Here is a 15,510-nt window from a genome sequence, read left to right as displayed (position 1 = left end):
TTGTTCTCCATCTACCCCTTCTTCCTAAGAGGTTAACTTTGCCACATGAGCAACTTACAATCCACTAGAAAATGACTGATAAGGAGCACTGATCTTAACCATCATAATATATTTCCAGCTTCTGACATTGGCACAGAGACTTGCAGGCTGTGAGTGACAGGTGGCAGTGAGTGTATAAAATCAGAACTTTAGTTCACCTAGGTGTTTCTTTGGGCATGTGATGATTTGTAAGACTTGTGAATAAAATCAAGTGCATGTTTGAGAACCAGCCGTACCCAGTGATGTGTATCTCCTGCTTCAAAGAGCTTTTGCTGGTCTAGACCCAGGTAAAGATTTCTTTTACCTGGAAAGAAAAGGATAAGTAGAAATGATCCTGAACCAATGTTTTTCCTTCTGCTTTTCTTGATGGTAATCAGAGAACTCCACAGACATTAGACCTCATAAGGCAAGTCACTGTGTGTTTACACATGCCAAATGTTTTGTTCTTTGGAGCCTTTTTAAGAATGGAAGAAAATAAAAAATGCAAGAGCCTTTTATGATCATTTATTGTACCGCTGCTAATTTGAAGCCTGCCACTCATAACATGGGGAATGATGATTACTATACATATAGTACTATATACATAGAAATATATAGTAATATAGATATCATCATATACATTTATATATAGTATATATTATATACAATAATATATAGTATTTAATATATACGATAATATATCGTACATAATATATACGATAATATATCGTATATATTGTTTATACATAATATACTATATATTCCTATTTTCCTAAATTGCCCCTTATTTTATCCCTGCCTTTTGAAAGCTTAACCATCCTTTGAGATATATATTATATAATGTTATATATTATAGCATATTATATATTTTATTATATTATATAGCATACATAATATAGTATATATAAAACAATATATACTATATATAGACATGTCTATATATAGTATATATAGTAATATATGTTACTATGTCTATATATAGTATATATTGTTTTACATATAACATATATAGTAATATATATTACTAGATATTAAAATATATATAAAAATATTACTGTATATTTCTATATATAGTAATCTTATTATATATTACTATATATAGAATAAGATTACTATATATAGAATATATTCTATATATTTCATATATATAGAATATATTACTATATATTTCATATATATAGAATATATTACTATATATTTCTATATATATAGTAATCATCATTCCCCTTGTTATGAGTGGCAGGCTTCAAATTAGCAGTGGCACAATAAATAATCATAAAAAGTTCTTGCATTTTTTATTTTCCTTCCATTCTTAAAAAGGCTCCGAAGAACAAAACATTTGGGATGTGTAAGCACAGAGTGACTTGCCTTATGAGGTCTAATGTCTGTGGAGTTTTCTGACTTTATATATATGTGTGTGTGTGTGTATATATATATATGACTATATATATATGAATATATATATATGACTATATATATATAGTACTATATAGAGTAATCATCATTTAATAATCATTCCACAATGAGAGAAAAAGAGAGAGAGAGAGAGTCTTGCTCTGTTGGCCAGGCTGGATTGCAGTGGCACAATCACAGCCAACACGGTCTTACCTGTACCTCCTGGACTCAAGCAATTCTCCAATCTCAGTTTCTCAAGTAACTGGAACTACAGGTGGTGCCACCACACTTGGCTAATTTTTAAAAATTTTTTGTAGAGATAGGGTCTCCCTATATTGTCCAGGCTGGTCTCTAACTCCAGAACTCAAGCAATTCTCCCACCTTGGCCTCCCAAAGTGCTCGGATTACAGGCATGAGCCATGGCACCCAGCCTTATATATTCTTCTACCATGGAAGTTAGTAGCTTTGTCTCTGGTAAAAAGTCTTTACCCTAGGATACATAAATGCTGGTGTGTGTATGTGTGTGTCTATTTGTGAGTATGTAAGTCTGTGTGTATGTGTAAGTGTATATTTGTGCATGTGTGTATATGTATTAATATGTGTATATGAGTGTGTGTGATGTGTGTGAAATTCTCTCCTTACCCAGTTCCACACACTGATGCTTTGACTGAATCAAACTGCATTCTCCAGAGGTAGCTGCTGAGCTTCCTGATTTTATTCTATACAAAATACCAAAAATACTTCCAAATAAATGGGTTGTTAAGTACCCTTCACTACTTTGGAGGGCTGTGCCTGACTTTCTTGCCACTGTGGGAATTTTACCAATAGTATTGAATGGAAGTCAAATGTTTAAAAAATAAACAAAACTTACTTTCTAAAAACAGCTTCATTTAAATCATTTTAGAAACTATCTTTAAAACCTGATACCTATAAAGAAAACATTTTTATTTAAATCTTCATAGGAGAATATGAGTCATCCAATTCATAAATCCTTTCCTCTTATAGTGAAACTTTGGTTAGTTCAGAACTTCTATTTCCTTGATAAATTACCCTAACATGTCCTATATCTGAAGAACCTAAAATAGCTAGGTTTAGAAAGGAGGAATCTAAGCCACATTATCATGGCCAGTGGTCCCTAAACATTTTTAATTACATACCTCATCAATAAAACACATTTTACCATTTGATCATATTTATGTATATTTATTTGTAAATTATATACATGTACTACTGTATAGATATCATATTATCTATATAGCAAAGTAGAAATAAAATAATTTTAGGAGCCAAATTAAAATAAATGTCACTATTTTAAAATTTTTATTTTTTAATGGCACAAAAAATCCTTTCTTCTCCTCTTAGAGATCTTATTATTGATGGTAATATTTTCAGTGGCAGCAGTGAATTGAATATATTTCATTTTTTGTAAAGTCTTGGTTTGTCTTCATGTTCTGAAAGCATAGTTTCAAATGTCTTTCTAGTCATAATGGCTTCACACTATCATTAATTAATAACTCAAGGCATAATATACAATGACTAAGGCACATGGCTAATGAGACTGGATGTGAATCTATATTAGTTTGTTACGGCTGCCTTAATAAAGAGCTAAGATTGGGTAGCTTAAACAGCAGAAATTTCTTTTCTCACTGTTCTAGAGGCGGGAAGTCCAAGATCAATCAAAGTGTTGGCATCGGTTTATTGTGAGCTGTTCCTGCGAGGGAAGGATCTGTTCCAGGTCTCTCTTCTTGGCTTGTGGATGTTTTTCTTCTCCCTGGGTCTTCCCATGTTCTTGCCTCTATTCATATCTCTGTGTCCAAATTTCCTCTTTTATAAGGACACCAGTCATATTGGTAGAGCCCACCCTAATGATCTCATTTTAACTTAATTACCTCTGTAAAAACCTTATCTCTAAAAAATGTCACATTCTGAGATACTGGAGGGTTAGGATTTCAAAATATGAATTGGGTGGGGTAGAGACACAATTCAGCTCATAAGAAAATCCATATTTCAAATAGTTTTGTTTATAATGTTGAAGTTATGGGTCAATTTCTTGTCAGATGTGATCACCTCTGCCATTGACCTTGCATTACCTTTATCACATGATTTCAATACATAAATCTTTTAAGACTGTTGCCCATTTCCCATGCTTATATATATAAACTGCAAACCGTCATAAGATGCTGAAAGGAAAGGATGAATGACAGCACTGTTGTGCGGCACCACCCCTCCCTCATGGCACCTTGACCATCTGAAATCTACACCATCTGAGGGCACTACCAATTTCTTCATTGCATAAAGCTCTGATTCATCCTTTTTTATATTAGTTCTAATATATGATAACTAATTTTATATTTAAGTACTGTATTTTATATTAGTTCTAATATTTTATGCATACTATATATATACTTAGTTATAATATATTCTTCCAGTGTGGCAATGGATTGTCTTGTGGGTGTGATCATCCCATGTTGGAGACCTCTGATCCAGACCAGACTTTCTAAAAACTACCTGCACATTTTCAAATTCAGACTGAAAAAGTTATTTATAAGAAGGGCCTGTGGCTGTGATGTAGGCTGTGAAATCACGTCGCAGTCAAACCAAATCAAAAGGGCCCACAGACTTATGATACTCACTTTCTCTTTTCATTGCCTCCAATACACAGGTATTTAATTGTTCCCTGAGGTTTAAGGCAGTGGACTGAGGATAATACAGGCTCCAGCTTTCATTAGTTCAATGGATGATGCTGTTCAATCCATACTGTTTGGGGCATTTGTTGAAAATGTCATTCAGAAGATATCAACACTTTCTGAGTCATGGTTTGATTGAATTTATAGAATTATGTGATAGAAACCACATTCTTCACAAAAGTCACAAGGCAATAATGACGACAAGGGTTGAAGATGAAAGATGCCAAATATTCTGATCAATTCAATAAGGCAAAAAGACAAGTTAATTCACTCAGTGCTCCAGGCATCAACTTCATAGAAGGAATGGAAATTCTACCTGTTTCCTAAAGAACTACAGAGGTAAAATCTCCTTTGTTTATAATGCATTTGGCCAAGTGTATTCTAGTTCTGGGGGCCTAAATAGGCCATCAAAAGAGCAACAATGCAGAGGCCAAATTATATATTGAGAGGAAATTAACAGCCTGCCAAAAGGAAAGGAGACCTATCAAAAAGAACAAGATGGAACACCCTGTTGAGGTGGCTCTAAAATTCTCAGAGCTGGTCCTGCAACCATAATGCAAAAATAGCAACAAAAGCCAATTAAGTGGAGAATGATGTTTTTCATCCTCCAAGTGCATTCTAAACTGGCACAAAACAATTACTTTCTACAGTTCTGGGTAGAAAGGAAATAGCATGGGTGAGCATTACAACGGTATCTAATCATGGTACAGCAAAAGTAGAACAAGTCTGGAGCCTTGGTCCTCTGTGACATAGGGATACTTACCTCACATCCTGCCCCACCTCAGTGATCTTAATTCCCAAACACACCATGCTTCTGGGTGTTTCTATGACTTGTAATGGTAGTTAGAAGCTAAGTTCATGTCTCTGCTCTATGTAGCTTAAACTGTCCTACTCAAGTCGCTTTGAGTACTGCCTCTATTTCATTGCACATAATTCTACAATTATCCATCTTACTACATCACAATGTTCTTATCTAAACACTAATCTCCCTTACTAGACTACAAGCTCATTAAGATCAGGGATCATGTCTAATCTTTGTATTTTCAGTGCCAACACAGATACTGACATTTAATAAGTACACAGTAAGTGTTTGGGGGACATAAAAAATAATAACCTGTTCTACTGTTGAAAATTTTCAAAATCCCTAGTGTTGTCATACACATGGTCTTATAGACCCCTCACAATAAATTCATTATCAATATTCTTATTTTAAAGGTGGGAAAATTGTGATCAGATGAGATAAATGATTTGTTCGAGGTCACAGAGCTTTTAGGAGCAGAAGCAGGACTTCCACCCAGTTTCTGATGCCTAGATTAGTTAATATTTTTTCACCACCCTACAGCAAATTCATGCCTTCTTCTGAGAGGGAGGGAAGGAGGCACTCATGCCCAATAGCAAGGGAACCAGAGGCAATATTCTAGGTCTGTAAATGAGAGAGACAGGACCTGTGAGTTGCTTTCTTATACCGATAGAATACCTGGAAGGGTAGCCCACTATTCTGTACAATTAGTTAATGAATAAATGAATGAACAAGCTGCCAGACTTCAAGGCACAAAAAGCAATTTTCATCCAACAATATAGCTCATCACTGGCTTCAGGTAAGGGCCTCAAATGTCCAGATGAGGCCTGAAGGCTTTGAGGCTGATTCTGAGACAAAGTACATGTGGGGTAAATCAGTTGTCATTACAATTGAGATCTTTGTCCCACAAAACAGGCACTGCATTAGTTCAGCTTATGATTAACTTTTTCCAGTAACTGCAAAGAGGCTAGGCATGTGTCCCTGTCTGCCCAGTGATCACTCCTATGCACTTCCGTCGGGATTCTGGACAGATTTTCTAGAGTAGGGGTATTGAGAGTTCTCAAAAGAGAGGCTTTGGAGACAGATGGGCTTGGGATGAAATCGTCATTCCTCTCTCACTGCCTGTGTGGTGCTGGACAAGTTGTTTAACCTCTGTGTGCCCCAGAGTCCTCATTGGTGGAGTTGGGTTGATGCGCGTGTCTATGTCATAGGGTTTCTGTGAGAATTAAATGGGGCTGAAACTTAGGTGATAATTCAACCAAGGTTTCTTTTTTTTTTTTTTTTTTTTTTTTTGAGACGGAGTCTCGCTCTGTCGCCCAGGCTGGAGTGCAGTGGCGGGATCTCGGCTCACTGCAAGCTCCGCCTCCCGGGTTCACGCCATTCTCCTGCCTCAGCCTCCCAAGTAGCTGGGACTACAGGCGCCCGCCACTACGCCCGGCTAATTTTTTGTATTTTTAGTAGAGACGGGGTTTCACCGTTTTAGCCGGGATGGTCTCGATCTCCTGACCTCGTGATCCGCCCGCCTCGGCCTCCCAAAGTGCTGGGATTACAGGCGTGAGCCACCGCGCCCGGCCTCAACCAAGGTTTCTTAATTTGGAGCCCTAGGTCCTCTGAGAGTCCTCAGATTTTCCTCAAAATTCAAAAGGTCCGTGAGAATGTAACCTTGTGTTTTCATTTTCATAATATAAATATTAATGCAACACAGGTGTGTCATCTGGATGAACATGAGATTCTAATAGCTGCCTATGTATTTGTGTTCACAATCAGGTGTACACCAAACGGAGGGCAAATGCTGTTACCACTCATCGTGCAAGACTTTTGAGGCAATTTGGACATAGACAAGTGATGGGAAAATTGAATCATTATATGGCTCATGACAGTGTTGAAAACTCAAACATCCAAGGACCTGTACCTTTGCTAAGTGCCATGCATATGTTGCTGATAAAGATGCAATAAATACTCTTTTGTTAAATTATACTTATTATTTCTCAGTATGGGGAGCGTGCATTCTAAATTGAGCAATCTTCAGTATTTTAAAATGACTTTATAATTAAAATAGCAAAATAATAATAACAATTACAATTTAAATAATGATTAGCAATAATTAAGATTGTCATGAGTAAAAATAATTATGCCAACTCATCTTTCTATTAATACACCTAGCATTGACAATTTAAGTTCAGCCAGTATCTGCTTTTTAAACTGTCATGAATTTGAATTGTATTGGTTGTCACTTTGTTTATATATACATACATATATCTATATCTATAGATAGTTTTTTTTTTTTTTTTTTTTGAGACAGGGTCTCAGTCTGTCACCCAGGTGGGAGTGCAGTGGCACGATATCGGCCCACTACAACCTCCTCCTCCTGGGCTCAATCCAACCTCCCACCTCAGCTTCCAGAGTAGCTGGGACTATAGGGTACGCCACCATGCCCAGCTAATTTTTTGATTTTTTGTAAAGATAAGGTCTCATTATGTTTCCCAAGCTTGTCTCAAGCTCCTAAGTTCAAGGGATGCACCTACCTCGGCTTCCCAAAGTGCTAGGATTATAGGCGTAAGCCACCATGCCCAGCTTATATTTAATTTGCAAATTTGTTTTCGTTTTTATGATTGTATAGCACACATGTAGTTTTATATTTTTACATATTTCAGAAATTTTATAATAAAAAGTAATAAAGGTATGCTGAAGATCTGCAAGAATTTATTTTCTTTAAAAGAGATTTGTATGTACCCTGGATTACTCAAATTCAGACATTAAACGAGATTATCTCTTTCACATTGAAAACCCTATGATAAGGAAACTAATAAGTGCAGGAGACAGACGGAAGGGATAGGAACCAATGCTGTGTCCTCAGATCATTATGAGACTTTTCATTATAATCATTAAACTATTTTATTTTTTGAGACAGGGTCTCACTCCATCACCCAGGCTGGAGTGCAGTGGCATGATCTCAGCTTACTCCTCAACCTCCTGGGCTCAAGCAATCCTCCCACTTCAGCCTCCCAAGTAGCTGGGACTACAGGCATGCACCACTACACTCAGCTAATTTTGTTTTGTTTTGTTTTAGATGGTGTTGTTGTTGTTGTTGATGGTGGTGGTGGTGGTGGTGGTGGTGGTGGTAGAGACAAGGATTGAGAGTGAGTTGCTTGGGTTGGTCTCAAACTCCTGGGCTCAAATGATCCTCCCACCTCAGTCTCCCAAAGTGCTGGGATTACAGGCGTGAGTCACCATGCTCAGCCCAAACTATTCTTTCTGTCTGCTTTCCTACAAGGAGAAAGTAAAGACAGCAGAGATATTCTACCTGATCAAGAACGAAATGCTACCATGCAAATTCAAAACTATAAAGGGAAGCATCTCACACTTTGCATGGTTTTATCTCATCACTCAGAGGTCAGTAGACAGGGAAAGAGCTAGTAGTTCCCATCTAGTCAAATAAGGACTGTCTTGTCCGTGGAGGATTCATTACAAAACTGCTCTTAATATTTGTGAGCTACAAAGTCCACACATCTTAGTGAATTAACCCAGCAGTTTTGTTGTAGGAACCCAGCTGGAAAGTGTTTCTAAATGACTGATAGCAGCTCCTGTTTTCTTCAAGCCTAAACAATGACAAAGATATTTCTTTTTAAAGTTCTGGGGAGGGTGGGAAGGGCATGGCTTTTTAAATGTGTAGTGTTTATTCCTAGATTGGCATCCTCTTTGCCTCTATTGATGAGCAGCACCTCTCCCTTTTATTTAAATTCACTAGTTTGGTGATCACGTGGTTCCAGAGGAGAAGGCAGAAGTGATAGTGCAGCAGAGTCCCCACTCCTGTAACCCATGTGCCAAGTTATAATCTGATAGATTCATGTAATAATAGGTTTCTAAATTGTGGAGTCAGACACAAAAGGTCATCAGCAGATGGTGAAACTGGTTGGGCCAAGCGAAGGGAATAAGGCACCCTGAAGGGCACACTGCCTTGGACTGACGCAACATCACATGTGCTTTCTTCCTTCTTTTAGTCCTAACGTGAATGGATCTTCTCAAGTACGTGAAGTACTAGAGACCAGAGGAGGGCATCTAACCCCAGACAGCAAAAAGACAGGATGTCCACAGATGCTTGGTGGGAGAGATTGGACCAATAACCGTGACAGTGACTCACTCCAGCAATCTGTGCCTCTTTTGCAAACATTTGAACTCAGATTGAGAGTGAGTTAATGGTAGATATAACTAGAAGCATAAAGACACAAAAAGACAATAATGACAGCTTGATATTTTGAACAGTTACTGGGTCCCGAGCAATGCTTTAAACATGTTACACCCATTATCTCATTTGATCCTACAACAAGTCTATGAGGTAGGTAGCATTAGTATGTGGAAACTGAAGCCAAGAGAGATTAGGTAAAGTGCCTGATAGTACACATAATAAGCCAGAATTCTAACTCAAGTAATCTCATTCCAGGACTCCAACTAAGCCACTATGCTGGGAGCAGAGATGGGGAAGAATTGCTGAGTCATGATAAGAGAAGGCACTATAGGAAGAAACAGTGAACTCTTAACAGCTGGGCAAGCAATGAGTCAGCCTGGGTGGTCACTCCAGATGCTCCCGGACACATCCCAATTTCTAGGATGCCTTGCTGTGAGTGGTTTGTCACATATGTCCTGGTTGTGCAACTGTTCCTTGGGTTCCTATGAAGCCTAATCTCATTTCCACAAGTATCCTTGTAATAAGCCTTCTCCATTGTTTTGGATAAACTGTGGATAAACTCTCTTGCCTCCCAAAAGCCTAAACCTGGAGTAAACTACAAATGATTCCCCAGCAGTGGTTCTCAAACTTTAGTGTACGTCAGAATCACCTGGAGGTTTGTTAAACCAGATTGCTGGGCTGCACCTCCAGAGTTAGTGATTCACTAGGTCTGGGAGGGGCCCAAACCTTTCCATTTCTAACAAGATCCCTGGTGATGCTGATGCCACAGATACAGGGACCATATTTTGAAAATGACTAATTTAGAGCCTAACCCCAACGTGGAGATGCCCAGAAACAGTGGCCTCAACTGGGAGCTTGTTAGAAATGCAGGGTCTCAGCACCCACACAGGCCTACTGAACCAGACTCTGCATTTTAAAACCCCTAGGTGCTTTGTGTTCATGTAAAGTTAGAGAAGCACTGCTAGAAATATCAGGAAGCCACACACACAGAGGCTAATTTAGCAGGTTGGGAGTGTGGCCTGGGCATAGGGACTTCCCGAATCTCTCTATGTGATTCTAATGTGCAGCCAAGGTTGTGGAACTGCTAATCTTTTGGTGACATACTGGCATTTTCTTTTCCTCCACACCAATGCACAGGATATGTACTTCTCAAGGAAAAAAAATGGTCACTATATATATTAAACTGACAGAGGAAAAGTGGAAATAACATATGTCTTAGATCTCCATTTTGGCGAAGACAGGCTTCAGCTGTAAAGAATCGAAGAATAAAATGAGACCAACAAAGTGAAATCATTTCTGAACCCAGTAACTATTACTGCAGCACTGATCTGCTGAACCGGCAGAGGAGTCCAAAAGAAAAATCTACTCATCCCAAATGAGCATTTACTCTCAATATGATGTGTTTCACTAGCTCCTTTCCTCTAAAGCACTTTTTTTCCCTTGCATTGTTTTTTTTTCTAATTATATGTGTGGCTTTAGACAAATTATTCCAATTCTCTGCACTTCGAGTTTATCAAATAAAAATCAAGAATAATCTCTAGCTCATAGTGTGTAGAGACTGAGTTTGATTCTGTATGAAGTGCCCAGCGCAGGCCTGGCCATCTAGTGAGAGAACAGTAAATGGTCTACTTGGGAGAACTCCTCAGTTAGAACTTTAATGATTAGGTAGCTAATGATCTGTAATACCCTCCTTAGCACCTGTTAATCTCACTTTAATAAGGAGAGTATGTCCGGCCTTTTACAAGAAGCCACAGATACTCCAGCCAGCAAGGTTGGAGGCAAGGCTGGATCTGGACCAAAGAGGCTGGTCAGCAAGTGCTTGGGAGCCAAGTCCTGAAAACATTCATCAGAAACGTTTCCTGCATCTTCAGTGGCCTGTAGACTGGGCAGCAGGCAACTCTCTAAATTTTACTGCAGTCAGAAGTTCAGGATGGGAACCTGCTCAGAAAGGGTGGGGCGCAGCATTTCAGGGGTTATGGTCATCTCCAGGAGAGTGGAGTAGGTTGTGAAGAGGCGAGTACTTCTACAGAATCTCTAAAGCCATCATTTTGACATAGGAAATATAGAGGGTAAGGGATTGAGATGAAAAATGAAACTACTCTTTCAAGTGTGTTTCCTCCACACTTCTCTCTTATCCTCCCTTTGTCTACGCTCTTCCATGGGTGGTATTTTAAAAGATGCCTTTTCTAGTAGAAGTTTTGTAATACTTTAAAAATGCTCAGAGGCATTTTTCCAATTTGGAGTCAATATACTTTGTATACTGATGAGATACTGCAGTTAAGTAATTAGCTGTCTGCAACTAGTTAATTAAGAGATACTGCAGTACCTTGGCCTCAGGCATTAAGCAAGTCTAGCTGATAAGCTGGAAATTGGCAAATAGGAGGATTGACAAGACACAAGAGCATAATGCGACACTCAGTCGCATTTGACAAAAAAAAAAATTTGTTTTTCCAGTGGGTAAATGAGTGAGTGCCACCTAAAGTCATACAGGTGGGTCTTTTAATAAACCCAAATATTGTCAGGAAAGCGGAGACTTCCAACTGTTGGAAAATGTCGCAGTAAACAGAATTCTTCCTGAATTTCATTCTATTTTCATTTTCCTATCACCCCAGTCCTGAAATTACTGAATTCAAGGGGAGAGTTAAGACTGAGAAACCCTTGAGGTTGCCACCTGGCAGGGTCACAACCAGCAGAGACCTCGTGTGGACTTTTAAAGGGCAGCTTTTCCTCTAGCCAGACCCTTGCCCTTGCTCCAGCATCCAGCTTGCTGAGTAGGACCTGAACAGGACTCCACCTACACTTACCCTTTGGGAATTCACGCTCAACCTGCGCAACCGTAGGCAGGACCCCCACCTCCCACCCACCCAGATCAAAGGAAGACTTGACTTTGGAGAGTAAATCCTCTCGGAGAAGAGATCAGATCATTTCTCCCTACCTTGGAAGGAAAGGAACATTTCCAAGTGAAAGGTCTTGTCTGCTACTCACCTACAGCGCAAGTCCCACGGTGCCTTGAGTGTTTGCGAGTGTCTCCTCACACCCAGAAATGCCCCACTAAGGGACATCTGTGTTTCTTGGAGCTAAGAATTACCTATTGGTGAGTGGAGTAGGAAATAGAGGAATAGTATCAGAATCTGGGCGGGCCTTCCACATGCCCACCTGAAGACCCTGATGTGTGACCACGCCCCCTTAGGAGCATGCCCTCTCCCACTCCTGGCTCCCATCGCTTGCAAATTCTTATGTAATGAGAAAATGCTGAAAGAGTATACACATGTGAAGAGGATCAAAGCAGAAAACAAACTGGGAAATTACAGATTCCTCCTTAAGTCAAAGCACTAGACTATTTGAATGGTATCTCTCTCCCACACAGTGTTCTTCAATGCCGTGCTCATTGTGAGCTGCACTGACTGTCTGCATAAGAATCACTTGGATACATGTCAAAAATACATCCTAGGCTTACTAAATCTGAATTAGTAGGAACAGAGCTAGAAATCTACATCTTTTAACAAAGTCTCCAGGTGACTTTCATGTATTCAGAAGTTTGTGAATGACTAATCTACCAGGACTGGTATCTTATACAGTCAATGTTTGTTTCTCTATCAGAATCTGGGAGGGCTTTCCACACGCCCACCTGAAGACCATGTGTGACCACGCCCCCAGAGGAGCATGCCTTCTCCCACTCCCCAATCCCATTGCTTATGACTTCATTCACATTTAGAGCGTGGACAGTGAATCCCCAATGTCATTTACACAGGTATCTATTAGCCCAAACCTAGCATAGTTCTACTTGACTGTCAGCACAGAACAGCAATCTAACTTCCACTGGCCATAAATAATCATGAGCTTTTGCTAAGCTGTTTCCATTGAACTTATATGGGATCAGTCATCCAGTTCTGAAACTGCCCTAAAACCAATCATATCTCAAATACATGCCCGTTATCATGTATCCCCATTCACTCTGTTTCCAAATCTTGGGACAGTGCTGAGAAGAAGCTCTTTGCTGAAAGAGTGAAAGTATAGTTGGGATGGAAGGAGAAACACATGAGTAGGTCAACTTGTCTCTGAACAAGGCAGTCCATTTCCTGGCCACATTCAGAACCTCCTTTTTAGTGCCCATAGAAGACTCCATGAAGTTAAAGGGTGGAAAGGGCTTTAGGACAGACCAGGAGAACAGCTTTAAAGTAGTCAGGGTGTATTAGTTTCCTATTGCTGCTATAGCAAATTGCCACAAATTTGGTGGCTAAAAACCATACAGATTTATTATTTTATAGTCCTCTTTTAGTTAAAAATCTGGTATATGTCTCACTAGGCTAAAATCAAGGCACCGGCAAGGCCGCATGCATTCCTTTCTGTGGGGTCTAGGTAGGACATTTCCTTGCCTTCCAAGTTCTAGAGGCTGTCTACACTTGTTGGCTTGTGACCTTCTTCCTCCATCTACAAAGTCACAAAGGCAAGGCAAGTCCCTCTCACATCGCATCCCTCTGAGCTCCTCCTGTGCCTCACTATTCCACTGGTAAGGATCCCTGTGACTATACCGGGACCATCAAGATAATCAAGCATAATCTCCCCATTGTAAGGTCAGCTAATTGACAACCTTAATTCCATCTGCAACCTTAATTCCTCTTTGAATGTAAGCAACATATTCACAGGTTCCAGGGATGAGAACATGGACATCTTGAAGGGGAGGGTGATTATTCTGCCTACCACACAGGAGAACTCTGAACCCTAGTTAAGGATGAGAGTAGATGTCATAAACACCACATGTCAATTCCAAGATATGAGGTTAGGCTAAAAATAGGAAAGTAAATCTAGTGATCAGAAGCATGAGGGATTGAAGCAAACCAAGTTGCAGAACAGGAAAGAGGTTAGATAAAGTGGTTCAGGACCCATACAGAGAGTTATGCAGTAGAGTTCAAGGCTTGCTTTCACAGGATGCCAGTTGCATTGTGGCACCACTCATGAGCTTGAAAGGGTGTGTAGGTCCAGACAAAATTTCACTGATGCTATCTCATCTCTCAATCTCTTACCATTTTTCATAATCCTCCTGCTTACTTTTCTCTCTTCTGTTTACCTCTCTGATCTCTTCCATATCTTCCTCCTAACCCTTATTTTTCTTCAAAAATAAATGAAAGAAAATCAACTATATATAAAATTGGGGGAAAATTAATGTTTTTACAGTATTTTCTGAATTTCATTACATGCATATACTACATGCCAATGACATCTGGTTTGATTATAACCTTCTAAGAGGCATTGCCTTGTATTTATCTTTGAAAAAAATTGAAGAAATTTTACATACATTTTAGCACCTATTACAAAGAATCTAACAGTGTCATGAACCCAGTAAACATTAAAATGTAAATTGATGGGAACAAAAAAGCATTTAAAAATTGTTTCAGGGGAAAAACAAGAGGTCAACCTGAGGTTCAGAGTTAAAGGAATTGCTGAGTAATAGATAATGCCACTAAGAACACTGGCTGAAGTACACTGGAATGCAGAAAAAAATGGATTCCTGTTCTACTGGCTGCAGTTCTGCCTGGAGCAGGTTTTTTTTCTTTTCTTTTCTTTTTTTTTTTTTTTTAAATATTTGAAGAGATTTATTCTGAGATAAATGTAAGATCCATGACCCATGATATAGCCCCAGGAGACCCTGAGAACATGTGCCCAAGGTAGTTGGGTTACATTTTTTTTTAAACATTTTAGGGGGACAGAAGTTACAGGCAGAGATATATTTTATGACATATTTTGATATGGCCTCACAAAGCTGTCTCTTGTAGGGAAAATCTACATTCTGTAGAAAAATCAGATTCGTTTTCCTGGTCTTTTCCTCGTCCAGGAGAGATTTAATTAAGAGTCTGGAGCACCTTTTAGAGTCTGATAAGAGACATTTATCATTTATTCTATCTAATGCCTGCTACCTGGAGGCTTCATCTACACAACAAGACCCCTGGCTTCCACAAGCCCCCTTATCTTAACAATAAACATTTCTTTCTGCTAACTTCACTCCTTCAGGTGGAGTTTAACCCTTTCAACCAATTATAATTCAGGAAATCTTTAAATCCATCTATAAGGTGGAAGCCCCCCACATCACTACTTTGAGATGTCATGCCTTTATGGGATGAACCAATGTATATCTTACATACATTCATTTATGTCTCTTTTTTTTTTTTAAATGATACTTTAAGTTCTAGGATACATGTTCAGAACATGCAGGTTTGTTACATAGGTATACACGTGCCATGGTGGTTTGCTGCACCCATCAACCCATCATCTACATTAGGTATTTCTCCTAATGCTATCCCTCCCCTTGCCCCCCACCCCCTGACAGGCCCCAGTGTGTAATGTTCCCCTCCCTGTGTCCATGTGTTCTCATTTTTCACCTCCCACTTATGAGTGAGAACATGCAGTGTTTGGTTTTCTGTTCCTGT

At 39.1% G+C, this 15,510-nt stretch overlaps 1 long non-coding RNA gene across 1 annotated transcript in view; it reads left to right on the top strand.

Moving 5' to 3' along the window:
* LINC02286 (long intergenic non-protein coding RNA 2286) overlaps window positions 1–6,871 on the top strand; it is a 31,778-nt gene extending 24,907 nt beyond the window's left edge. Inside the window, exons 4-5 of the long non-coding RNA NR_184204.1 lie at window positions 4,076–4,439; window positions 6,667–6,871. This is a non-coding gene — a long non-coding RNA (long intergenic non-protein coding RNA 2286). The remainder of the gene's footprint in view (window positions 1–4,075; window positions 4,440–6,666) is intronic.
* The last annotated feature ends 8,639 nt before the right edge of the window (window positions 6,872–15,510 follow it).

Source organism: Homo sapiens, chromosome 14 (assembly GCF_000001405.40).
Source record: "Homo sapiens chromosome 14, GRCh38.p14 Primary Assembly".
NCBI classification, from domain to species: Eukaryota; Metazoa; Chordata; class Mammalia; order Primates; family Hominidae; genus Homo; species Homo sapiens.
The sequence above is the reverse complement of the archived record's forward strand: the minus strand, read 5'-3'. Positions and strand labels throughout refer to the sequence as shown.